At 40.0% G+C, this 27,106-nt stretch overlaps 1 long non-coding RNA gene and 1 pseudogene across 2 annotated transcripts; one reads left to right on the top strand and one right to left on the bottom strand.

The window, feature by feature from the left end:
• Positions 1–3,698: 3,698 nt before the first annotated feature.
• Positions 3,699–26,182, bottom strand: LOC105372317 (uncharacterized). 2 transcript variants are annotated; one of them, XR_936409.3, is made up of 3 exons: positions 25,879–26,182; positions 6,302–6,397; positions 3,699–3,737 (listed from the first exon to the last, which is right to left on the bottom strand). It is a non-coding gene; the product is annotated as an uncharacterized LOC105372317 (long non-coding RNA). The 2 variants fall into 2 exon arrangements; XR_936410.3 differs by lacking the exon at positions 25,879–26,182 and adding an exon at positions 20,980–21,376.
• BNIP3P23 (BCL2 interacting protein 3 pseudogene 23) lies at positions 14,843–15,377 on the top strand (annotated as a pseudogene).
• Positions 26,183–27,106: the final 924 nt, after the last annotated feature.

The raw sequence follows: 27,106 nt of genomic DNA, 5'->3' as shown, positions 1-27,106 counted from the left end.
TTTTTATGACTACTCACCTAGACAGGATTAAAAAACTGTTACAGACTGGGAATGGTGGCTCACACCTATAATCACAGCACATTGGGAGGCTGAGGCAGGCAGATCACCTGAGGTCAGGAGTTCAAGACCAGCCTGACCAACATGGAGAAACCCCGTCTCTACTAAAAATACAAAATTCGCTGGGCATGGTGGTGCATGCCTGTAATCTCAGCTACTCAGGAGGCTGAGGCAGGAGAATCACTTGAACCCAGGAGGCGGAGGTTGCAGTGAGCTGAGGTCACACCATTGTACTCCAGCATGAGCAACAAGAGCAAACCTCTCTTCCAAAAAAAAAAAAAAAACTGTTACAGCAAACCTACACAATAAATATACAAGTGACAAAAAATACAAAGATAATATTTATCCAGGCAAACAAACATATAAATAATTATATTGGCAATAGACATATGGCTTATTCATATTTAATTTTGCTCCATACTGTCTTAAATTGTACAGAGTTAAAAATTGTCATATACAATTATAATATAAACTAAAAAATTAAAATACAATTAACTGGTGTGATGTGGCATACCCAAAATATATATAACACAAAAATATAAAATTGTGGAACAAAAGTAAAACATAGAATATAAAACTTATTGGATACCATGAAGTAGATCAATGTATTCATGAAACAAATCTTAGAATATAGGGAAAAAGTAATATAGAGGTTACACGAAGATTAAAAAAACTGAAAACTTCCCCAATTTTGATGTAACAAAAAAAATTTCTAACAATACTCGATTCAAAATTACTTTACTTCAAAAAGAAGATAAAAATAAAGACTTTCCAAAATAAAAGGTGAGAGTATTCATCACAACTATCACTGTCTCTCATAATATAATACATGGGCCTGGGTGCACTGGCTCATGCCTGTAATCCCAGCACTTTGGGAGGTCAAGGTGGGTGGGTTGCCTGAGGTGAGGAGTTCGAGATCAGCCTGACCAACATGGTGAAACCCCATTTCTACTAAAAATGCAAAGATTACCCAGGCATGGTGGCACACACCTGTAGTCCCAGCTACTCAGGAGGCTGAGGCAGAATTGCTTGAACCCAGGAGGTGGGAGTTGCAGTGAGTCAAAATCATGCCATTGCACTCCAGCCTGGGAGACAGAGTGAGACTCACTCTTAAAAAAATTTAAAAAAATAAAAGCCGGGCACGGTTTCTCAAGCCTGTAATCCCAGCACTTTGAAAGGCCAAGGCGGGTAGATCACCCGAGGTCAGGAGTTTGAGAGCAGCATGGCCAACATGGTGAATCTCCATCTCTACTAAAACTACAAAAAAAAAAAAATTAGCTGCGCATTGTGGCATGCTCCTGTAACCCCAGCTCCTCGGGAGGGAGGCTTAGGCAAGAGAATCGCATGAGCCTGGGAGGCGAAAACTGCAGTGAGCCAAGATCGTGCCACTGCACTTTAGCCTGAGCTAGGAGAGAAAGACTCCGTCTCAAAAAAAAAAAAAAGTAAAAAAAAATACTACAAGAGGCTCAGGCACAATTGTTCATGTCTGTAATCCTACATCTTTCAGAGGCCAAAGCAGTCATATCACTGGAGACCAAAAGTTCAACATCAACCTGAACAACATAATGAGATTCTATATCTAAAAATACAGAAATGTTAGAATGTGTCCATTATGTTGAAACACAAATTGACCCTGGACAGCATCATAAAAACATATATAAATATAAAGCTATACACTAATGTAAATAAATGGACACATATGGAATTCTTTACTATCAAAATGATGGTACAGGCTGGAAGTGGTGGCTCACACCTGTAATCCCAGCACTTTGGGAAGCTGAGGCGGGCAGATAACTTGAAGTCAGGAGTTCCAGACCAGCCTGGCCAACATGGTGAAACTCCATCTATACTAAAAATACAAACAATTAGCAGGGCATGGTGGTAGGCACCTGTAATCCCAGCCTCTCAGGAGGCTGAGGAAGAAGAATTGCTTGAAGCCGAGAGGTGGAGGTTGCAGTGAGCCAAGATCGCACCACTGCACTCCATCCTGGGAAATGGAGCAAGACTCAGTCTGAAAAAAATAATCCCACACCAAACAAAACAAAACAAAAAAACCAAAATGATGGTACATAAAACCTTTAAAGTGCTTTTATGGAATATAAAAAACAATATGTAAATCCGCATAAATCTGTGAATAGATACACCATATAAACTAGGTGAGGCATTCAACACTAGACTGGTCAAGATGGTGAAACCCCATCTCTACTAAAACAAACAAAAATAGCTGGGCGTGGTGGCAGGAGCTTAAAATCCCAGCTACTCAGGAGGCTGAGGCAGAGAATCCCTTGAACCAGGGCGACGGAGGTTGTAGTGAGCCAAGATCGTGCCACTGCACTACAGCCTGGGCGACAGAGGGAGACTCCATCTCAAAAAATAATAATAATAATTTTAATATTAACAACAAACTGGAAAATACAGAAGCATAGTTTTTGTATTCAATGGAGGCCGTTATAAGATTAAAATATATTGTTTTTTAACTTTAAGGTGTATGTAATCTTCAGTTTTCAAGCTGATTACAAAGATAATATTTATAGAAAGTATGCAAAAGAAAACAAAATATAATCAAAGCATGCTAGTACAAGATTAAGTGAAAATTAAGAAAGTAAAACAGAAAATGAGAAAAATATAACTACTAGAAACACATAAAACAATAACAGTATAACTGGTAATAACAACTTCATTTTTTAAGCAATTATTTTAAATATAAATTAATTAAACTACTTAATAAAATGAAATGTAATCTTAGGACTTTGGAAGGCCAAGGTGGGCTGATCACTTGATCTCAGTAGTTCAACAGGAGCCTGGGCAAATGGCAAAACTCTGTCTCTACAAAAAATACAAAAAAGCAAGCTGGGTGTGACGGCAAAAATGTGTAACCCAGCTATTTGAGAAGCTGAAGTGAGAGGAACATCTGAGTTTGGGAGGTTCGGGCAGCAGTGAGCCCTGCAAATCAGCCTGGTTAACCAAGTGAGACCCTATTTGAAATATAAATGAGGCTTGGCACGGGGGTTCACGCCTGTAATCCCAGCACTTTGAGAGGCGGAGGCAGATGAATCACAAGGTCAGGAGTTCGAGACAAGCCTGGCCAATACGGTTAAACCCTGTCTCGATGAAAAATACAAAAATCTGCCAGATGTTGTGGCACAAGCCTGTAGTCCCAGCAATTTGGGAGGCTGTGGCAGAAGAATTGCTTGAACCTGGGAGGCAGAGGTTGCAGTGAGCTGAGATCATGCCACTGCACTCCAGCCTGGGCAGCAGAGTGAGACTCTGTCCCCCCCAAAAAAACAGAAACCTTCATTAAAGAAACACACTAATGTGAAACTTCAAAACAATAATAAGAGAAGAGTTTACTCATAAAACCTGGTATGCAACATTGATGTATCATTAAAAAGAATTTGTCAGGCTGGGTGCATTGGCTCACATCTGTAATCTCAGCACTATGGGAGGCTGAGGCGGGCAGATCACCTGAGGTCAGGAATTTAAGACCAACCTTGCCAACGTGATGAAACCTCATCTCACATAAAAATACAAAAATTAGCCAGGTGTGGTGGCACATACCTGTAATTCCAGCTACTTGGGAGGCTGAGGCATGAAAACTGCTTGAACCCAGGATGTGGAGTTTCCAGTGAGCCAAGATTGCAGCACTGCACTCCAGCCTGGGTGACAGGCTGTGAGTCCATCTCAAAAAAATAATTTAAAAAAATTTGTCTGGGTAACTGCAATATTTAGCTGTTACTGTGTACTCATTAAATGCAGGTATTTTGAATCATTGGCATGCACTGTGTGGCAGTAAAATTTCAGAAAATATGCAGTATAATCATAAATAGAAGATTCTAATGAGAAACTTTTAATAAATAAGCATTTAAAAAAACTAGAGTTAGTTTTATGTTTTGAATATGTTATTCTTACACAAAATGAAACTGCTGTATTCTAACTTTAGAAGCAAAGAATAGTCTTACATTGTTAAAGACAGAAAATATACATGTATATATTGCAGAATAGAATTAGATCCTCTGATATGTAAAACAAATATTGGGAAATAAACTATGTTATTATTTATATATAGGCTGAAGAAAGTAGATGAAAATCCTATAATTCTTTTTTGCCTGTAGCAAACTTACATTTATAAGTAACTCTTTTAGTAAATATGGAGTACCTACTAATTTTCTAACTACATCAGGCATACCATGCAAATTCTAGCATATTGTCCTAAATATCTGAATCTAAAATTACAGAAAAATTTGAAATAGAAAATGGAAAGTAAAAATGTATAGGGAGAGTGACATCAGTAAGATGAAAAGATTAAAAGTCCCCTACATTCATATCCCCTTACAGCAAAATAATGTCAGCCATCCCTGACAAAAATGCCTTTATGAGAGAACCAGGCATTATGGCTCACACCTGTAATGACAGCTACATCGTACATTAAGGTGGAAAAACTGCTTCAGGCCAGAATTTTGAGACCAGCCTGGGTTATGTAGCAAGACCCCATCTCCAAAATAAGTGCCTGTAAGAGAGATTTGAGATCCAGGGAAGGAGTGATGAAACTCTGTTAAAGCTTAGGATTGAAAAGTGTTCTACTCAGAAAGCAGGCCCTCAATTAGGTGGGAAAGTGCAGGATTCCTGTTTATGGCTACAGACCAGGATAGAGTTCACCCAACTTGGTCCCAAACTGAGATTCTGAGAATTCTGAACTTATCATATAACCGTCCCAAACTCCTCCCAGCCACTGTCTGGGAGAGGTCCTGCCATTCTAGAGACCCAGAGGAAGGCACCTATTTACAGCCATGCAGGCAGGTCTGCAGACCTTGGCCTTTACTCAGGTCCCTGAAGTGGTTCAATGACTCAGTTTCAGTTACCTGAGCCACAGTTTATGATCAGTTCTTCCTGCATAGAAACCCACACAGTTACCTGAGGAAATGCTCTCTCATACTCATGAAAGCCACACTCATCCACATCCTGATTTAAGGCCCAGCATATGCAGACTCGACTGCAAAAACATGCTGTAGTGCCTGCCCTACTGAGAAAAGTACTGAAGGATATTTAGTCTGTCCAAAAATAAAATGGGAATTACAACAACCCAAGCCCCTGTAACAAGCCAACTAAGGGTGAACCCTAGTGCAGACCTAGCAGCCTTGTGACCAAGCTACAATCCCTCTTCACTACAAATTCAGATGGCATCTCATCACCCTAAGGAACCAATAAAAGAAGATCTTTACAATCTAAAATCAGTTTACAAAAACTTGAAGAGGTGTCTGCTCCATCAAATTCAGACACCAATACAAAACTATATTGTGCCCTTTGTCAATTCTTCTATTTTAATGTAGCACTGGAAGTATGTAACAGAAGAATTAGTCAAAGAAATTTAAAAAAAACCATTGAAATTGAAAAATGAGTAAAAAGTTGCTGTTTGTAGGTCATACAATCATACATTTAAAAAACTATAAACAGTACATTAAAGCCTATCTAAACTAATAAATACACTCAGTAAATCAGCAAAATATAAAATTAACATACAAGTGTATGTATGGTTTCATGCACTTAAACTGTCTGATAAAGAAAAACGTTTATTTACTAGAGCATTAATTAGTAAATTTCTGAGGAAAAAATTAACCAAGGAGGTAAAACATTTTTACAATAAAAAAATAAATAAATTAGAGAAGATCCAAATAAATTTTAAAATATTTTGTCTATGGCTTGAAAGAATAAATATTATTGTAGTGCCATATTATCCAAAGTAATCTATAGATTCAATAAACTTCCTATCAAAATTGCTGTGGTTTTTTTTCACAGTAATGGAAAATACAATTCTAAAATTTACATGAAACTAAAATAAATTTTGAATAGCCGAAGCAATCATGAAGACAAAGAACAAAGCAGAAGGATATCATACTTATAATTTGAAACTATATTTCAAGGCCACATAATAATAAAAACAGAATGGACTGTGCAGAAAAATGAACAAAAAAATGCAACAGAAACTACTACTTTCACACATTTCAAACCTGATGAAAAAAGGGAACTTAAAACATAGTTTTAGTTTCTCAACATCATGCAGATATTTGTGTGTCCCCAAAATAATGGAAAAGCAGTCAGATTGTGCAGTCTCTTCTATGCCATGAAGAGGACATTGGCTCTCACTGTGAACTTGAAGGAAGCTCACCAAAAGAAAAGCAGAATCCTTAGAGAATTTAAAAGCATAAGACAGAAGATGCCCCTTTGTGAGAGCAAAAAAAACACCTACCTGTGTGTTTGGCAATCATCACCTGTCTCTTCATGGTCAAAGTTTCTTTTCCTTGCTGTAGCCAGGTGATCAGGTCTGGGTTAGAGACAACAATACCTGTTTTATTAAAAATAAATACATAAATTTTTCTCATATTCTCCAATTACAAGCTAGTAATGTGCTCAGCAGAGAGAATGTGATAAAATATTCTAGCAAATTAATAGCAAAATACTAAGTTATAACAGAAATTTCTAAATATTTAGAAAATACTTTCAATTTGTGGGTTTCTTAATTTTACTACCTGGTACTGCTGAATCAAAAATTGGTGGTGGCAATTCGATTTTCAGGTGGGGACAAAAATATTTTATGCCACTAAATTTCTGGAATTACCACTAATTTAGAGTGAAGAATACAGCTCAACTCAGGAATGTGGAAAGTTTGGATTAAGATGAAACATCTTGAAGAAATTCTTTAATAAATGAACAAATTTTGAAGATTTTCTGGAAAAAGGGGATCTGAAAGTTTTTTATGCAAAGAATAAAGGTCTAAAAACATTCTACAAAAAAGAGAAATAGGCTGAGCATGTTGGCTTATGCCTGTAATTCCAGCACTTTGGGAGGCCAAGACGGGCATATCACCTGAGGTCAGGAGTTCGAGACCAGTGTGGCCAACATGGTGAAATCCCATCTCTACTAAAAATACAAAAATTAGCCGAGCGTGGTGGCAGTCACCTGTAATCCCAGCTACTTGGGAGGCTGAGGCAGGAGAATCACTGAACCCAGGAGGCTGAGGTTGCAGTGAGCAGAGATTGCACCATTGCACTCCAGCCTGGGCAACAGAGTGAGACTCCATCTCAAAAAATAAAAATAAAAAGAGAAATAAAATCTTTAGGATATATTATGAATTATGTACTCAAGTTATCCTCACCAAGGAAGACCAGGTGTCTGTAGTTCTCTAACATCACATCCCTATATAAATTGTGCTGTGCAGTGTCCAGGCAATGCCACTCCTCCAGAGAGAATTCTATAGCCACATCCCTAAATTGCAGTGGTCACTGTAAAGCACACACACACACACATTTTTACTAAGTTGCCATGAGCGGAATTTTTAATTTGACTTAAGGTGAAATGAGAGAGTAAAGAGCACTCATTCTGACTTATAGGACTGACTAAAATTATCCAATAAAATAATTTTCAACACAAATATTTTCTAATGTATTCTCTATCTCTGAGAAAAAAGAGCAGCATAATATCCACAAGATCAGTTCATATAATGATATTTTTCTGGATAATAAAGTATAAAATTAAGGACATGAACACAAACATGTATATTTTTGAGTGCTATATTTACATCATACAAAATGACTTGTGAATATTTTTCAGATGGAAAAGACATGTTGAGTTAGAAAGCACCTCTCAAATTTTGATGTGTAGAATAAGCTGAAGACCTTGTTTTGCAGGGTTTTTTTTTTTCCAGAAGATCTGGTATAAAGTCTGATTTTTAAATGTATTTATTTTGAGACAGAGTTTCACTCTTGTTGCTGAGACTGGAGTGCAATGGCATGATCTGGCTCACTGCAACCTCCACCTCCCGGATTCAAGCAATTATCCTGCCTTTGTCTCCTGCGTAGCTGGGGTTACAGGCATGCGTGACTACGCCTGGCTAATTTTTTTTTTTTTTTTTTTTTTAAAGTAGAGATGGGGTTTCTACATGTTGGTCAGGCTGGTCTCGAACTCACAACCTCAGGTGATCCACCCACTTCAGCCTCCCAAAGTGCTGGGATTACGGGCATGAGCCACCATGCTCAGCCAATTTTTTGAATTTCTAACAAGCTCACCAGTAATGCCAATGTTTTTGTCCCAAGAAGGATATTTTGTCAAATATTCAGTAAGTGCAAGAGTCGGTATTTTTCCCAGTTTTTCAAGCCTGTAAACAAAACTAAGAGCCTTCATTTACCAAAGAAAAATATGTAGAAAAACATAAGAAAAAAAGACAGCTGCCAGATTAAATGTGATCATTTATGCACATCAGCTGCATAAAGATACTTACTAATAAAGAGAAAACTAATTAACTCCATAGTAAAAAAAAATCTGTCAGCAATTTCACTAAGTGATTCATTAATCATTAACTGCAGGAGGACAAATTTTTATGACGTGCTAATGCACACAGGAGAACACAGCATCACTGTTGAAATATTCTTTCCCCAAAAAAGTAAATAGAATCTGAATTTAACCATAAAGAAACATCAGTTTTATGGAAACTTCAAAATACAAATAACTCCTATGTTCTGTAATTGTTAGTAGTAATTTTAAGGAGGCTTCATTTGCCACCCTAGAGAGCAGATATCTCCTAATTTTTTTTCAGAACTTTCTGAGTAATAAATGTCATCCCAGTTAAATAAGGATTTTCTTAATCTTCTTCTGCATAGAGCTAATGGAACACACAGATGGAGCCGTAACATTACATGTTCTCCATCTTTACTAAGTACCACAGTTTTCTCCAGTAGAAATCTTGAGTATCCACATCTTTTCATGTTCAACAGCCACAAAGGGAATATTTTTAATATTGCAGATCATAAATTCTTGCTGATAATCCTGCATGACATATAAGAAGCTATGATGTAGAGAATGTAGGGAGGGCTCTGGGATATAGGAAAAAAATATTTTTCAGAGACCCTTGACTATCATAAGAATTTTAAGAAGTAGTTAAATCAAAATCATTAGGGAGGAAAAACACAAGTAGAGAAGTAAAGGTTTGTGGGTACTAAATGCATGGCAGTCCAGGAGGCAGAGTGGACATAGCTCTTCATCTGACACATGTTTACCTGAAGAAAAGCCATTTTTTTTCTTTCTCCTCCTTCTCTAGAATTCCTTCTCAGATGAGACTCTCTGAACAAATTACACCTGCATATGGAGAATATGCCTTTAAAGGTGTCAGTACCACATGTTTACCTGCTAGCATGACATCAACTGGCAGAAAAAGACAGAAAAAGTCCACCCATTTCTGTCATTTAAAACAGAAGAAGTTCAGGAATAATGAGCTGCTCCATGAAGATAAAAATATAAATTTCTCCTTTTCTGTCTTCAGGTGCCCTCCCCTGCCAGAGACACCAGCAATTTCTGCTACAGTAATGCAAATATGTGCCACACTGACCTTTCCCTACCAAATCCAAACAGCACCACCCCTGTGACTGCTGTTTAGTGCAAAGATGGAACTTAATGCTCATGAATGTATTTTGAAACCCTCATACTTGATTCTGGCCTCACCTTAGAGTCACATGAGGCCCTTCACTCAAAAACATGGATCCTTCCACCCACAACAATAAACAGAAGCTGTGGGGAGGGCACAAGAGATTTCTGCAAATTAGCCATTTGATCCTAATGAGAAGCCTGGGCTGATAACCACTAAGCTAAGCATTGCCTCTCAGGCTTTAACGAGCTTATAAATGACTTGGTAATTTTGGCCCCACTTTATGTAATGTGATTCTGCAGGTTTGAAAAGAGTCCATGAATGGGCATTTTAAACAAGTCCCCTGTCAGTGCTGATGTTGCTTCCCCTTGTCTCATTACTAGCATTAGTTAGAGAAAGCAGGCACAGCCCATGGTCTCTTAACACTCAGCACTCTTGTCGCAATCAAACACTTCTGGGTACAAATATGGACAACCCATCTCCATCCTAAAGTTTTATATTCTTTGCTGTCTCTTTAAAGTTTACAGAGGAAACAGAAGGCAGTAATGTCTGAATAAGTCTGGATTTAAAAAACAGCATGTACACATGTACTAATACAATGCTTATTAAACAGGTACTATGTGCTCAAAACTAGGATACAGAGGACTGTACTGGGCATAACATATTATGTGATTTAATTCTCATAATGCCCTGAAATCTGGTACTCAATTTTTTGTTTGTTTGTTTGTTGTTTTTGTTTTTGTTTTTTTGAGATGGAGTCTTGCTCTGTGCCCAGGCTGGAGAGCAGTGGCACAATCTCGGCTCACTGCAAGCTCCACCTCCCGGGTTGATGCCATTCTCCTGTCTCAGTCTCCTGAGTAGCTGGGACTACAGGCATCCACCACAGCACCTAGTTAATTTTTTGTATTTTTAGTAGAGACAGGGTTTCACCATGGTCTCGATCTCCTGACCTCGTGATCCGCCCGCCTCGGCCTCCCAAAGTGCTGGGATTACAGGCAAGAGCCACCACGCCCGGCTGGTACTCAGTGTTTAATAATTTCCAGGATTTAGATAAAGGGCCCAGCATTTTTATTTCTTCTTCTATTTCTCTTTCTCAAATTTTTAATAAAATTGTACAGAATAAAAGCTAAATACAGACAGGTGAAAGAGATATAATAAAGGAAGAGTTTAACGTAGTTTAGAGAAAATTTTATTCTCTTTATATTTACTTTTTTGTGACTTGTGGAGCAATTACTGGATCTGCAGGGGAAAAAACCAGTTGCTAAATAGAATGTCTCTCCAAGCACTGGTTTTAATAGAGCCTTTAAAAACTAAGACCCTAAAATACATTCTTTATTTTTCCCATTTATCTGCTTTTGGGTTTCAGGAAATTGTGAACACCAGCTCTAGAAAGACAGCAGGATTCACCAGCCAAAACTCTGATCTCTTCTACTCAGTTCTGTGAGGCCAGACTCCAAGGTACAGTCAGACCTAAATAAGGCCTCCAAAAAGGATAAATCTGAACAGGTCTGAGACACTGCAGTGAGGACCCTATGTTGAATTCTGTTCTCCATGCCACTGAAGTACCACCAGTTTTGTTTTTTCTAAGCTTACCTAAAAGAAACTTAAATCCCAGAGATTCTGTAATTTTAATCTTTTCTAGACACTGCTTTGTCAACTTTATACTATGTACTAATATGCAATTTAAACAAATCCCTTAAGGTTTTCTAGGCTAGTTTTTCATTTATTTATTTATTTATTTATTTATTTATTTATTTATTTGAGAGGGAGTTTCACTCTGTTGCCCAGGCTGGAGTGCAGTGTTGCCATCTCAGCTCACTGCAACTCCCACCTCCTGGGTTCAAGTGATTCTTCTGCCTCATCCTCCAGAGTAGGTGGAACTACAGGTGTGCACCGCAATGCCCAGCTAATTTTTGTATTAATAGTAGAGACGGTGTTTCACCATGTTGGCCAGGCTGGTCTCAAACTCCTGACCTCATGATCCACCTGTCTATGCCCCCACAAAGTGCTTGGATTACAGGTTTCAGCCACCATGCCTGGCCTTTCTAGGGAAATTTTATTAGAAAATAAATATGTACACTAAGCAAAGTAAAAGAAATAGAAATTATAAGGCTGGGCATGGTGGTTCACACATGTAATCCCAGCAATTTGGGAGCCCAAGGCCAGTGGATCATGAGGTCAGGAGTTTGAGACCAGACTGACCAATATGGTAAAACCCCATATCTACCTAAAATACAAAAATTAGCTGGGTGAGGTGGCAGGCACCTGTAATCCCAGCTACTCAGGAGGCTGAAGCAGGAGAATCACTTGAACCAGGGCAGCAGAGGTTGCAGTGAGCTGAGATCACACCACTGTACTCCAGCCTAGGCAACAGACTCGGTCTCAAGAAAAAGAAATTATAATAACAAGGCTGTTCATAAGTATGCCTTCAGATGTAGACATCAGAAGTCACAACAATATAAAGAAAGTGGCCTAAATAAAGCCCAAGATTTTGGACACATCTATTTGTTGGACCAACCATATGATGCACAATTCAATTTTTTATCCAGTTGCTAGTCTAGACTAAAAGTTTCTGGATTGTAGGAACCATGACTGCTTCATGTATTTTTTTTAACGGCCATATAAAATGGAAGAAACTAGTTTATCTATTTGGGCCTCCAGATTTACTCCTTGTTTATCATCCAAATACCAGGACACTGGAGAAATTCTCATCTGGGTACCAACCGAAGACACCTCTTGTATGAGGGGAGGAACAAACACAGGATGATTCATTTCTCTTATACTAAGACAGAAACAGAATTAGCCACTCTTCTCAGCCTGACACAATTCTGCTCTGGACATCCTCAAATACCTCAAAGACATCTAGGTGATTTTGAAGGAATTCCCAGTGACCCTGAGCTGATAGCCCAATGATAATCCAGTCGGGAGAGGCTCAGGCTGATTCTAAATAGAAAATGAAACTGCCTTGCTGGAGCTCCAGAACCTGGATTACCTGTCCTGATTTGCTAGCTCTTGCATAAAAGAAAGAAAAAAATACTCATTTTACAGGTAAAATACAAAAATCACATTTTACAGGTAAACATAGTTGTGGTTATAGCTCTGGATACTTTGTGGCCTTGATCTCTTACTCCTAAGATGCTTATTTACACTTACAGATTCTGCCATCAGATGCTATTTCCTCCTGGATACTCTGACATAACTGTCGCAGGTCAATGAACAAGATGTGAAAAATCTCATAATTCCACACTCCCAAATGGAGGCTGTAAGATATCTATGTTGACATCTCACAATGCAGAAAATGCCTTTTGTTAGTTTTCTGTACATTTTCTATCCAAAGTTTGGCCCTTTTCTGTAAATCCCAGGCAGTAGCCAGACCTTATCTGCAGATTCTAGGTAAAATAAACTTGTCTCTGCATCCTTTGGTGTCACAGCAAGAGGAGTACAATCAAAGGAGAGATGCCCTCATAGAGGCCCCTCTAGCACATTCTAAATGATAAGTGTACATTAAAAAAAAAAAAGCAGCCAGGTGCTGTGGCTCACACCTGTAATCCAAGCACTTTGGGAGGCCATGGTGAGTGGATTGCCTGAGGTCAGGAGTTCGAGACCAGCATGACCAACACGGTGAAACTTCTTCTCTACTAAAAATACAAAATTTAGCCTGGTGTGGTGGCAGGCCCCTGTAATCCCAGCTACTCGGGAGGCTGAGGCAGGAGAATCACTTGAACCCAGGAGGCAGAGGTTGCAGTGAGCCGAGACAGGGCCTTGGCACTCCATCTAGCCCAGGCAACAAGAGCAAAACTCTGCCTCAAAGAAAAGAAAAAAAAGCTGACACAACATAAATATAAGTAGACAGTTTATTTGGGTCAACTTAAGGATTGTAATCTGGGAGCAAAGATTCAAGTTGCCTGGAATCTACACTTTGATTAGTAGCAGTTAAAAGAGGATTTCTACAGACAAGAGAGAGACAGGGACTGGGATGATACAAAGTTGTTTTTCAGAAATTTTTATTTACAGAAATAACATTGATTATTGTTTAATTTATAGCTACTTGTGCCAATAGTGAACACTTTCAAGAGATGAATGCATAGTTCAAAGGGGGGAGAAATACATAACTGCACTTTCATTTTAATGTCTCTCTGAGTTTGATAACCAAAAGACTTGCATTTTTCAGATAAAATGGAACTTAAGATAAAAATCTCAAGACCTTGATTAAAAATTTGGAGCTGTAGATTTAAGGTCTGAATTGCTGGAGTCGCAGCAGGTTTTACCTGCACATTTGTGGGCATTTTAGCATGAGGAGGAAGGGGAAAGTGGAGATTCTCGTGTGTATATGTCTACTCAATGCACACATGTTACTCTGAATAAGTTTCTGGGCTTCATAGTATCTGAATCAGTTTCAGGTCTGAACATACAAGAGTCCATGAAAGAGGTAAAGTGACTGATTGCTGCCCTGTGAAGTTTGTAGAAATGTGGTCTAGCCTCTCTAGAAGTGACTGTAGAGGACTATAGATACCAAATAGGCAGAGACACAATTCTGCCTGTGTATTTAGGGGACAGCATGCACTTTGCTGCATAAGTATAAGTTGACTGGAAGCCTGAGAAGGAAAATCCCCTCTAGAGTAAATTCTGGTCGGCATTTTATGTGTTTATATCATGTCTGGTAATTCTAGACAGTGTTTGGAAACAATAGTTAACAGAAAAATCGGGCTGGGTGTGGTGGCTCACACCTGTACCACTGCACTCCAGCCTGGGCAACAGAGTGAGACTTCTGTCTCAAAAAAAAAAAAAAAAGAAAAAAAGAAAAAAGAAACAGAAAAAAAACGTTCTCCAGCCCCAAAGAAACTTCCCAGTAATAGAACAGAAAGAAAATGGTTTTATTACACAACTAAGCTTGAATGTAACAAGCATCATAGTCAATCTGTTTAACAGATCACAAAGACAGAAAGATGGTCACCATAATTAGTCCACAATTAGAAGAATTTACAGCACCATGTCATACATAGTTCATCCTAAATTCACCTGGAGATTGAAGAGGCCATCTGTGTATGCTAATTACTTATATTCAACGACAAATAAACTTTTCACATCTTCATAACAGGACGTAGTTTAGCAGCTTAAAGCCAGGTGCCTGCTGAAGGTAGGATTTCACTCTGCCTCAAAAATGGTTTAATAGTGTTCTATCTTTTTGGCTATTTACATTTTAGAGCAGTGGCTCTGTACTCCCTGGCACTGGGCTACAGAATTCCTGCTTGCTTTCTCCTGGTTGCTAGTGTTCTCTCTGGACCTCTATCATCTGCCACTGAGGCACAGCCCAGAGCACAGCTGACATTTTATGTGAATCTCATTTGCCACAGCAGCACTCTAGTGTCACATCAGAGAGCTAAGCCTAAGCTGCAGGAGGAGAGCCTGCAGGCCCCCTGGATAGAATTGAACCTTCACAATAATGGAAATGGGAGCAGTGTTTCAGGCTTAGTTTCTACTTTTAATTGTGACACGGAAAAAATACTGCTGAATTTCCAGCATGTCTCTAGATAGTGATAGCTCCAAAAGTTCTCACTGTGACAGCCCACTTTATTCAGACACCATGGGATACTAATAGGGCTTCTGAAACAGAAAAAGCATTGGAGAGAAAAACAGATCTCCATCTGAGCAAGATTATTTTGAGAGACGAAAGTTAAAAAGATCCTAAGAAAAAGCTCTGACAAGATGTAAGTTTAATCAAGTCAGTCAGAATATATTCCCTTAAAAGAAATTTCTCTGTAAACACCCAAAGTGCACAGCTACTCTCAGCATGAGAAACATGAGCAATATGAAGAAAGGTGGCAGAATTTCAGAAGAATTTTATAAAGTTTCTTTTCCATCTCTGCTGCTGTCTCATCTCCTAGCGATTGAATGGGGGTCCTATCTCTTTTTTACTCTCTCTCTTTTTGAATGTATTCAACAACTTTTACTTCGGTAATAGTGTATTGTCAACACTAAAGCTAATTTTAATAAAACCTTATAAATAAATCAAATTCATGATTTTTGGCCACTCCAGGTTTACATACATATTTTGTAATTTCTTCTAATATTTTTAACTCTACAATTTATTTTTATTCACTTTCTTTTTATTTTTTCTACTTGAAACAAACTTTAAGTAATTTCAAACTGTTATAGGAGATAGAAAGAAATCATTTTTGAGAGTCTGAGGTGGGTGGGTCACCTGACGTCAGGAGCTTGAGACCAGCCTGGCCAACATGGTGAAACCCTGTCTCTACTAAAAATACAAAAAAAAAAAAAAAAAAAAGAAATTATTTAGGGCACACTGGCGCACACCTGTAATCACAACATTTTAGGAGGCCAAGGTGGGCAGATCACTTGTGGTCAGGAGTTCAAGACCAGCCTGGCCAACATGGTGAAACCCCATTTCTACTAAAAATACAAAAAATTAGCTGGATGTTGTGGTGCATACCTGTAGTCCCAGCTACTCAGAAGGCTGAGGCAGGAGAATCGCTTGAACCCAGAGGGCAGAGTTGTGTAACTGTCCAAGGGGTTCACCTTGCCCATGGCCTAGACACAGCCAATTTATCAAGACAGAGGAATTTGTGGAGGAAAAGTTAAATATTAAATTTGAACTCATTTGAACGTGGACACAATCAATGATCAACAAGTCCTAGAACAGGTTGTGTGAGCCCCTTGAGGCTTTAATCCAGTGCTCTTTTGGAGAAATCTCTATTTAAATCTATTCCTATATATTAGTTGTTCAAAAACAATAGACAATTGTAAAAACAAGTTGACTTTTTTATGTTACTTGAGCCCATTCACGAACAGCCCTCATGACTGAACCTTAGGCCAAACAACTAGTTACAAAAGATCTAGGGTCCCAGACTGTGCCGAAGCTTCATGAGACCTGTCCTCATCTGTGCACAGACTAGTGGCTTACTCTGAAGCCCAGACTGTTGCTTCCCAGTCTGCTGGTGAATCCTCCATAGTCTGGTGGGCAATATATATATATATACACACACATACATATATCTTTTCCCTTCTCCTCTTCCCATTGCAATTTGCTTATTATATAAATCTGCTTATTACATTGATTTGCTTATTATATCATTTGCTTATTATATCTGCATTCCCATTTACATGGGATAAAACTTGTTGACCCTTAACGGTATTGTGTGTGTGTCTTTTCTTCTCCCCTTTCACGTTTCCCACACAGAACATTTTTGGCATCATAAACAGAATTCGAAAACAAAATTGTGCCGCTTTTTGGCCAGAAGGACAGGGATGGAAACTCGAGGAATTCCCATATCCAGGGATGGGAACTCCCCCAGTTTTCCTCTTTGGCGATTGAATGGTCCAGGGGAACTGGCCTTTGTGAGAATTGGGAATCTAAATTAGCGCAATTTAAAATTTGACTGTGCATGAAGTGCTGCAGGGGATTCCAGTCAGCAAAGGAGATGGTGATGGGATCTCCCAGAGTGGATGGTGTTTGCTTACTGCTTATAAGTTAATGTATCAAGATAGGGGATGGTTGCTACAAGAGAAACGTAAGATGGAAAAGGAAAATTCTAATCTGACTTCCAGACTGGCCCTGGCCCCATGTCAGGCCTGTGTCTTGACTGATAAGGCTCAGAAATATCTGCCTATTGATGAAAAAAGCAGCTGTCCCAGTGGCCCCATCAGGATAAAATTGAAGAACTAGGCAGCCGGGGTTTAGAGTGGGTAAAAACCCAGCTCCTATCTCAAGGATGGGAAATTAACCTTAGTAAAATTCAAGGACAGGCATCTAGTGTAAAATTCCTTTACATCCTATGGAATGCAGGGAAATCATCCATTTTACCAAAGGCTAAGATGAAATACTAGAATTTGCAACCCCTACCACTGAAAAGGAGGCCCAGAAATGTATTGGCTTGTTTGGATTCTGGAGACATGATATTCTCCACTTGAGTAACATTTTACAACCTCTGCATGCAGTCACTAGAAAACACGATGACTTTCACTGGAGAGAGAAAGAGAGCATGGCTTCTGAACAAGCTAAACAAGCAAGTCAACTGGCCCTGGATCCATAGCCCTTATGGGATATGCCAGTAGAACTGCAAGTAACTATCCTAAATCAACATGCTAATTGGAGCCTTAGGCAGAAACAAGATGGGAAGAGGCTACCTTTTGGGTTTTGGACTCAGAAACTGCCAGAGGCTGGAAAACCTTATACTCCTTTCAAGAAGAAATTCTTAGCTTGCTATTGGGCTTTGCTGGAAACAGAACACCTCTGCTTCAACCATGATGTCTTTATGAGACCTGAAATTCCTACTATGACTTGGGTCATGAGTTCCACACAATCTCATCAGATAGGGCACGCCCAAGAAAGTAGCATCATAAAATGGAAATGGTACATACAAGATCAGTCTAAGCCAAAACCAAAGGGGTTATCACTTTTACATGAGGGTGTAAAAAACTTGACAGCTCAGTAAACCACCAACAAAGTCATGCAGATAGGCAAGGAAACCTCCCTTGTACAATGGGGCAACTCCTTTAAAGAACTAAGTCCAGAGGATCACAGGCATGCTTGGTTTACTGATGCATCCACCAAATACATTGGTGGGACCTGATGGTGGAAGGCCATGACCTATAATCCTGTTAAAAACATAAGCATTTCTGATGAAGAAAGGGGTGGGAGCAGCCAGTTAGCTCCCAGTTAGCTGTCTTTTGAGCTATTCAGGAGGAAGTCAGAAACATTTGTCACTTGTATGCCAACACTTGGTCAGTAGTAAATGGTCTTACTACCTGGATGCTCCAATGGTAATGAAACAAATGGTTAATTGGGAATAAAGAGGTTTGGGGTAAACAATACTGGGAAGATATCTGAATCCTCTTGCACACTACCATTATCACTGTTTTCCATGTTGATGTTTATGTGTCTCTGCTTTCTTTTGACAGACTATTTAATCACCAGGAAGATCAACAGGCCAAAATTTTTATTATAACTGCAAACTTGAATGTGGATGAATGGATTACTATGTGTTCCAAGCCTTGCAATGACAGACATTATAATGTATGGTGATATAATTGATAGTGATTAGTGGCCTTAATGCTCCACTTAAAAGATACAGAATAGCAGAATGGATAAGAATTTAATAACCAAAAATCTGCTGTCTTCCAGAGACTCACCCAACACACAAAGACACACATGAAGTTAAGGTAAAGGGTTGGGAAAAGATAGTCCATGCAAATGTACCCCAAATGCAAGCAACAGTAGCCATTCTTACATCAGACAAAAAGACTTTAAAGCAAAAACACTTAAAAAAAGAAAAAGACAAAGTGGGACATTACATAATGATAAAAGGACTAGTCCAACAAGAAAATATCACAATTCTAAATATATATGCCCCTAACACTGGAGCTCCCAATTTATTAAAAAATTACTACTAGACCTAAGAAATGGGATAAATGGCAACACAATAATGATGAGGAACTTCAATACTCTACTGACAGCACTAGACAAGTCATCAAGACAAAGTCAATGACAACAACAACAAAAAAAGGACTTAAACTATAATCTAGAACAAACAGTCTTGACAAATATTTACAGAATATTCTAACCAACAACTGTAGAATATACATTTTATTCATCAGCACATGAAACATTCTCTAAGACAGACATATGATGGGCCACAAAACAAGTCTCAATAAATTTAAAACAATCAAAATTATATCAACTACTCTCTCAGACTACAGTGGGATAAAAGTGAAAATCAACTCCAAATGAACCCTCAAACCATGCAAATACATGGAAATTAAATAAATACATGGAAATTAAATAAAACATAAAATTTACAATCAACCTGTTTTTGAATGATTGTTGTATGAAATCAAGATGGAAATTTTAAAAATCTTTGAGCTGAACAATAATAATGACACAATCTAACAAAACATCTGGGATACAGCAATAGTGGTGTTAAAAGGGAAGTTCATAGCATCAAGTGCCTACTAAAAAGTCTGAAAGAGCATAAGTAGACAATCTAAGATAACACCTCAAAGAACTAGAGCAACAAGAACAAGCCAAACCCAAACCCAGCAGAAAAAAAGAAATAACAAGGATCAGAGCAGAACCCTAGCAGGAGGGGTGGCTGCAGTCTCTGTGGACCAGCAGACTTAGCCTTTCCTCCTGCTAGTTTTGAGGGATTTAAGCAGCCCAGATGAGTGGATTTTCCCACAGCAAAACACCTCCCTCCACCAAAGGACAGTCAAAGTGCTTCATTAAATGGGTTCTGCTCCCCATCTGCTCCCCATTCCACCTTCAATAGGAATTGTCAGACACCCTATACAGGAGCAATTCTACTGGTATCAGATTTGTGTCTCTTGAGGTCAGAGATGACAGAGGAAGGAACAGACATTCTTCTTTGCTGTTCTCCAACCTCCTTGAGTAACATCTCTAGGCACGGGAGTGAACCAGATGGATAGGGCTTGAAGTGAACCCTAGCAAACTGCAGCAACCCTACAGAAGATGGACCTGACCATTGAAAGAAAAACAAACAGAAAGCAACAACAACAGCATCAACAAGAAAAAAAAGTACCCACAAAAACCTCATCCAAGGCTGCACATAGTGGCTTACACCTGTAATCCCAATACTTTGGCCAACATGGTAAAACCTCCTCTCTACTAAAAAATACAAAAATTAGCCAGGCATCCTTGTGCATGCCTGTATTCCCAGCTACTCAGTAGTCTGAGACATGAGAATCACTTGAACCTTGGAGGCAGAATTTGCAGTGAACTGATATGGTGCCACTGCAGTCCAGCATGGGTGACAGAGACTGTGTCCAAAAAAAAAAAAAAACCATCCAAGGGTCAGCACCCTCAAATGATTGAAACTAGACAAACTCAAGATGAGAAAGAATCAACAAAAAATGGCTGAAAGGCCAGAGTGCCTCTTTTCCAAATGATCAAAATGTCTCTTGAGCAAGGGTACAGAACTGAACAGAGAATGAGATGCATGAATTGACAGAAGTAGGTTTCAGATGACGGTTAACAACAAACTCTGCTGAGCTAAAGAAACATGTTCTAACCCAATTCAATGAAGCTAAGAACCTTGATAAAAGGTTAGAGGAACTGCTAACTAAAATAACCAGTTTGGAGAGGAATATAAATGACCTGATGGAGCTGAAAAACACAGCACGAGAACTTCATGAAGCATACAAAAGTATCAATAGCCAAACTGACCAAGCAGAAGAAGGATATCAGAGTTTGAAGACCACTTTGCTAAAATAAGGCATGCAGACACGATTAAAGAAAAAATAATAAAAAGGAACCAACAAAGGCTCTGAGAAATATGGTGTTCTTTGCAGGAAATGAGTGAGTGGAGAAGAAAAGACATACACACAAAATACCTTTAAAGATAAACAAGATTTATCCCACGTAAATGGCAATGCAGATATAGTAAGTAAATTTATATAATAAGAAAATTGCAATGGGAAGGGGAGAAGGGAATATATATATATATGTGTGTATATATATATATATTTACACTCACCAGACTATGGAGGATTTATCACCAGACCAGGAAGCAACAGTCTGGGCTCCAGAGTCAGCCAACAGTCCTTGCACAGACTAGGAGAGGTTTCTTGAAGCTTTAGTGTGGTCTGGGACCCTAGCTCTTCTTGTAACAAGTTGTTTGGCATGAAGCCCAGTCACGAGGGCCCTTTGTGACTGGGCTCAAGAAACACAAAAAGGTCAACTTGTTATTGTGATTGGCTATTGTTTTACAATAACTAACATATAGGAATAGATTGAAATAGAGACTTCTCTGAAACAGTGCTGAATGAACGCCTCAAAGGGGCTCACACAACCTGTGCCAAGACTTGGTGACCTTTATTTGTGTCCACGTTCAATTGAGTTCAAATTTAATACTTAACTTTTCGTCAACATTCGGCCTCAATTCGGTACTCAATTGTATTAAAATACCGTTATAGATACATGGGGAACTCATAGTTGACATAGATTATGGATACAGGGTAAGCATAGGAGAATTAAAAGCACAATTTAAAAAAAAAAACATACTCATGGCTTTGCAAGGAGACTAATATTGTGAGAATTGCCAGGGATATACACACAACATCCAGTATGCAGTAAGGCGCAAACCCCTCCTTGGGCTGCGGTAAGCATATCTAATGCCATTTGATTTTGCAACACAACAGTACGCAGCTGAGCAAATTCATCTGATAACAGCATAAGTCCAGTGCTACTATCATTAAGAGCTTTTTCTACATATAAGCTTAATATTTTAATTTGTTGGTGAAGCAGGATTGTTCTAGCGGCAGGGGAGAATACTGTGATAAGGTATCGCCACCAAGGAGGCCGGCACATTCATAACCAGTGGTGTTTGTAAGCATCCAGATTACTTGGGAGGGGGATATTATCCCGGATGGTGAATGGAATTAATGGCCACCCACAAGTGATCTCCCTGCCCAGTGTGGGGGCAGGTACCAACACCCACAGGATCTGCATACCCAGAGGGCCCCCCAGGGGACAGCCATGGACCTACTGTAAACATACTGTACTAATGTGTTATTAAAATAGGAAAGAGATTGTGGTTCATTGGGGGCAATGTTGTTGATTTGGAGTATGTGTTGACAATTGTCTGGAGAAACCCCAGAGTAACATTAGAGGAGCCATTTAAGGCCTCCAGATGAAGCAGGGGCTGTGTGGAATCCAGCCACCAGCACAGCAGGTTTCCAATATATACCGTTCCAGGAATATTGGGCAAAATACCAAGGCTTTTGATGGAAGGTGAGGGTGGAGTTCACCTTTTGTCTGACCTGGGCAAAGACAGATTGCTTAGTGTGGTGAAAGGAAGTCCAGGTTGGATTACAAGTGTTGTTGTTGTGGCCCCATTGATAACGACATAGCCATTCAGAAATATTGTCAGGGACGATTCTTCAAGGTAGCCCATTCCTGGCAGCCTCTGGCAACTCGATGTACAGCCAACATTCTCTGTGATTGGCTTTTGTTGCAGCAGTGGCTACCTAGTAAATGAATTTATTCTTGGCTTTAGACACAAAGACACAGGTGCTGACCATTAGTAGATAGGTTATTCCTTGTAATAACAAAAACAGAGGGGAACATATTGTTTTTCATCTTTAGGAAATTGTACTATGCCTTCATTTTCTGCTTTCATAGCTACAAGGTCACCAGCCTTAGGGGCAGGATCTGTTGAACCCTGTATCCATATATTGGCTCCAGGATTTAAGCTACCTGTAGGAGTGGATCTGAATCCCCCAATTCTGTATGTAGCCTCTGTTGGGGCAGAGATTTCCTCACGGGATAATTGTTGACAAGGTACCACTAATAATTGAGCAACAGGCATCTGCGGTCTTATAGCAAAAAAATCTGGAGTGGTATTGTATAAAATGTCCTTTAACTCTCCCCGGTAATCACTACCAATTATAGCACCATACATTATAATGCCTCTCATTGCAAGGCTTGAACACATTGTATTCCATTCATGCACATTCAAGTTTACAGTTATGGTGGAAATTTTGGCCTGTTGATCTTCCTGCTAATTAAATGGTCTGTCAAAAGAAAGCAGAGACCCATGAGCATCAACATGGAAAAAGGGCCAGGAACGATGGCTCATGCCTGTAATCCCAGCACTTTGGGAGGCTGAGGTGGGCAGATCACGATGTCAGGAGGTCAAGATCATCCTGGCCAACATGGTGAAAACCTGTCTCTACTAAAACTACAAAAATTAGCTGGGGGTGGCAACGTGTGCCTGTAATCCCAGCTACTTGGGAGGCTGAGGCAGGAGAATGGCTTGAACTGGGAGGCGGAGGTGACAGTGAGCCTAGATTGTGCCACTGCCCTCCAGCCTGGTGACAGAGCTAGACTCTGCGTTAAAGAAAAAAAAAAAAAAAAAAGGAAAACAGTGATAATGGTAGTCTGTGCCAGGATTGAGATATCTTTCCAGTATTGTTTTCCCCAAGCCCCTTTATTCCCAATTAGCCATTTGTTTTGTTGTCATTGGAGCATAGAGGTAGTAAGACCATTTGCTACTGACCAAGAGTCGGTATACAAGTGACAGATCTCTCTGGCCTCTTCCTGAAGAGCTTAGAATATGGATACTAGTTCAGCTAACTGGCTGCTCCCACCACTTCCTTCATCAGGAATGCTTATGTTTTTGTTTGTTTGTTATTTTTTTTTTCTTTTTGAGATTGAGTCTCAGTCTGTTGCACAGGCTGGAGTACAGTGGTGTGATTTTGGTTCATTGCAACCTCTGATTCCTGGGATTCCAGTGATTTTCCTGCCTCACTCCCCCGAGTAGCTGGGATTACAGGTGCACACCACCACCCTGGCTAATTTCTGTAATTTTTAGTAGAAATGGGGTTTCACCATGTTGACCAGGCTGGCCTCGAACCCCTGACTTCGTGATCTGCCCAACTCAGCCTACCAAAGTGCTGGGATTACAGGCATGAGCCACTGCATCTGGCCAGTAATGCTTATGTTTTAACAGGATTAACAGAAGCCACAGCCTTCCAGCATTGGGTCCCACCAATGTATTTTGTGGATCCATCCATAAATTAAGCATGTTTCTGATCATTTGGGCTTAGTTATTTAAAAGATTGGCCCCTTTGGGTGGATTGTGGGGGGGGTTTCTTTCCTATCTGCAGGATAGTTTGGTGGTTTTTTGAGCGGACAAGTTTCGTACATCCTCATGTAAAAGTGATAACCCCTTTGGTTTTGGCTTAGCCTGGTCTTGTATGTACCATTTCCATTTTATGATGCTACTTCCTTGGGCATGTCCTATCTGGTGGGTTTTGGGGAATTCATGACACCAAGCCATGATAGGAATTTCAGGCCTCATAAAGACATCAAGGTTGAAGCAGTGGTGTTCTCTTTTCAGCAAAGCCCAATCACAAGCTAACAATTTCTTCTACAAAGGGGTATAAGCTTTGCCAGCCTCTGGCAGTTTCTGGGTCCCAAACCCGAAAGGTTTCTGCCTAAGGCTCAAATTAGCAGGTTGATCTGGGACAGTTACTTGCAGTTCTACTGGCCCATCCCATATGGGCCACAGATCCAGGGCCAGTTGCACCACTTGTTTAGCTTGTTAAAAGCCATGCTCTCTTTCTCTCCCCAGTGAAAGTCATAGTGTTTTTTAGTGACTACATGCAGAGGTTGTAAAATGTTACCCAAGTGGGGAATATCATGTTTCCAGAATCCAAACAAACCAATAAATTTCTGGTCCTCCTTTTTGGTGCTAGGGGTTGCAAATTCTGGTATTTTAGCCTTAGCCTTTGGTAAAATGGGCTATTTCTCTGCATTCCATAAGATGTCAAGGAATTGTACACTTTGTGCAGGTCCTTGAATTTTACTAAGGTTAATTTCCCATCCTTGAGACAGGAGCTGGGTTTTGCTTATTTTGTTTGTTTGTTTGTTTGTTTTGAGACGGAGTCTCACTCTGTCACCCAGGCTGGAGTGCAGTGGTGCAATCTCTGCTCACTGCAAGCTCTGCCTCCCTGGTTCACGCCATTCTCCTGTCTCAGCCTCCCAAGTTGCTGGGACTACAGGCAGCCACCACCACGCCTGGCTAATTTTTTGTATTTTTTAGTAGAGACTGGGTTTCACCGTGTTTGCCAGGATTGTCTCAATCTCCTGACCTCATGATCCACCCACCTCAGCCTCCAAAAGTGCTAGGATTACAGGCATGAGCCACTGTGCCTGGCCAGTAGCTGGGTTTTTACCTGCTCCAAGCCTAGCTAACTAGTTCTTCAGTTTTACCATGATGGGGCCATTTGGACAGCTGCTTTTTTCATCAATAGGTGGATATCTTTGAGCCTGATCAGTCAAGACATAGGCCTGGCATTGGGCCAGGGCCAGTCTGGAAGTCAGACTAGCATTTTTCTTTTCCAGCTTACATTTCTCTTGTAGCAACCATCCCCTGTCTTGATACATTAACTTATAAGCAGTAAGCAAACACCATCCACTCCGGGAGATCAACTCAGCAGCTCCTTTGCTGACTGGAATCTCCTGCAGCACTTCATGCACAGGCAAAGGTTTAAATTGCACTAATTAAGATTCCCAGTTCTCACAAAGGTCAGTTCCCCTGGACCATTCGATCACAAAGGGGGAGAACTGCGGGAGTTCTCATCCCAGGTTATGGGAAGTCCCGTAGCCATCAGCCCTGTCCTTCTGGCCAAGAAGCAGCACACTTTTGTTTTTGATTTCTGTTTGTAATGACAAAAATGTTCTGTGTGGGAAACACAGAAGGGGAGAAGAAAAGACACACACACAATACCTTTAAGGGTAAACAAACTTTATCCCACATAAATGGCAATTCAGATATAATAAGCAAATCAATGTAATAAGCAGATTGATAAAAGCAAATTGCAATGGGAATAGGAGAAGGAAAAAGAGATGTATATATATTTACACTCACCAGACTATGGAAGATTCACCACTAGAATGGGAAGCAACAGCCTGGACTCCAGAGTCCGCCACCCATCTGTGCACAGATGAGGAGATGTCTCATAAAACTTTGGCCCCCTCTGGTGAGGGAAGAGAGAGACCCTCTCATATTGTTTTATTGTTTTATACTCAGTACCTGTTTTAAGAAAAAAACAAGGAAGTGAAATCAAAGACAGGCAGCCTGGCGCCAGGCCCAAAACCAGCCCTGGGCCTGCCTGGCCTAAACCTAGTAGTTAAAAATCAACTCATAACTTAAAAATCAATGTTATTCATAGATTCCAGACATTGTATAGAAGAACACTGTGAAACTCCCCGCCCTGTTCTGTTCCTCCCTGACCACTGGTGCATGCAGCCCCTGTCACATACCCCTTGCTTGTTCAAATCAATCTGACCCTTTCATGTGAAATCTTTAGCGTTGTGAGCCTTTAAAAAGGACAGAAATCGTGCATTTGGAGAGCTCGGATTTTAAAGCAGTAGCTTGCTGATGCTCCCAGCTGAATAAAGCCCTTCCTTCTACAACTCAGTGTCTGAGAGGTTTTTTTCTGCGGATTGTCCTGCTACATTTCTTGGTTCTCTGACTGGGAAATGAGGTAACTGATGGGCAGCTGAGGCAGCCCCTCAGGTGGCTTAAGCCTGCCCTGTGGAGCATCTCTGCGGGGGACTCCAGCCAGCCTGAGTTACATGATCCAAAGAGTGCTCCCAGGTAGGAAATTGCCCTGGCGGAACACCTCACCAGAGCAGCGAGTAGCAGGTCCCCACAGAGGATTAACACAGTGGCTGAACACCCAGAAGGAACTGGCATTTGGAGTCTGGACATCTGTAACTTGGTAAGACTAGTCTTTGGAACTTGCCCCACTCCATCTGAGTGGAAGTGTGGCCTGATTACCCACAGTGTGCCTGTATTGGCACTTTTGTTCTGGTTTTGACTTGGCTTGACTTGGTAAGATTAGTCTTTGGAACTTGCCCCACCCCATCTGAATGGAAGAGTGGCCTGATCACCCACAGTGTGCCTGCATTGGCACTTTTGTTCTGGTTTTGACCTGACTTAGACTGCATGATACTTTAGTTTTGGTTTTGACCTGGCTTAGATTTCTGGATACTCTGATTTTGGTTTTGATTTTAGTTTGGTGTAAACTGCAAAAGTGTGTGTGTGCCCTTTTTACCTGTTTTTTTTTTTGTTTTGTTTTGTGGTGTGTGTG

Source organism: Homo sapiens, chromosome 19, assembly GCF_000001405.40.
Source record: "Homo sapiens chromosome 19, GRCh38.p14 Primary Assembly".
Classification (NCBI taxonomy): Eukaryota; Metazoa; Chordata; class Mammalia; order Primates; family Hominidae; genus Homo; species Homo sapiens.
Note: the sequence above shows the minus strand (reverse complement) of the source record. Positions and strands in the feature narration are given on the sequence as shown.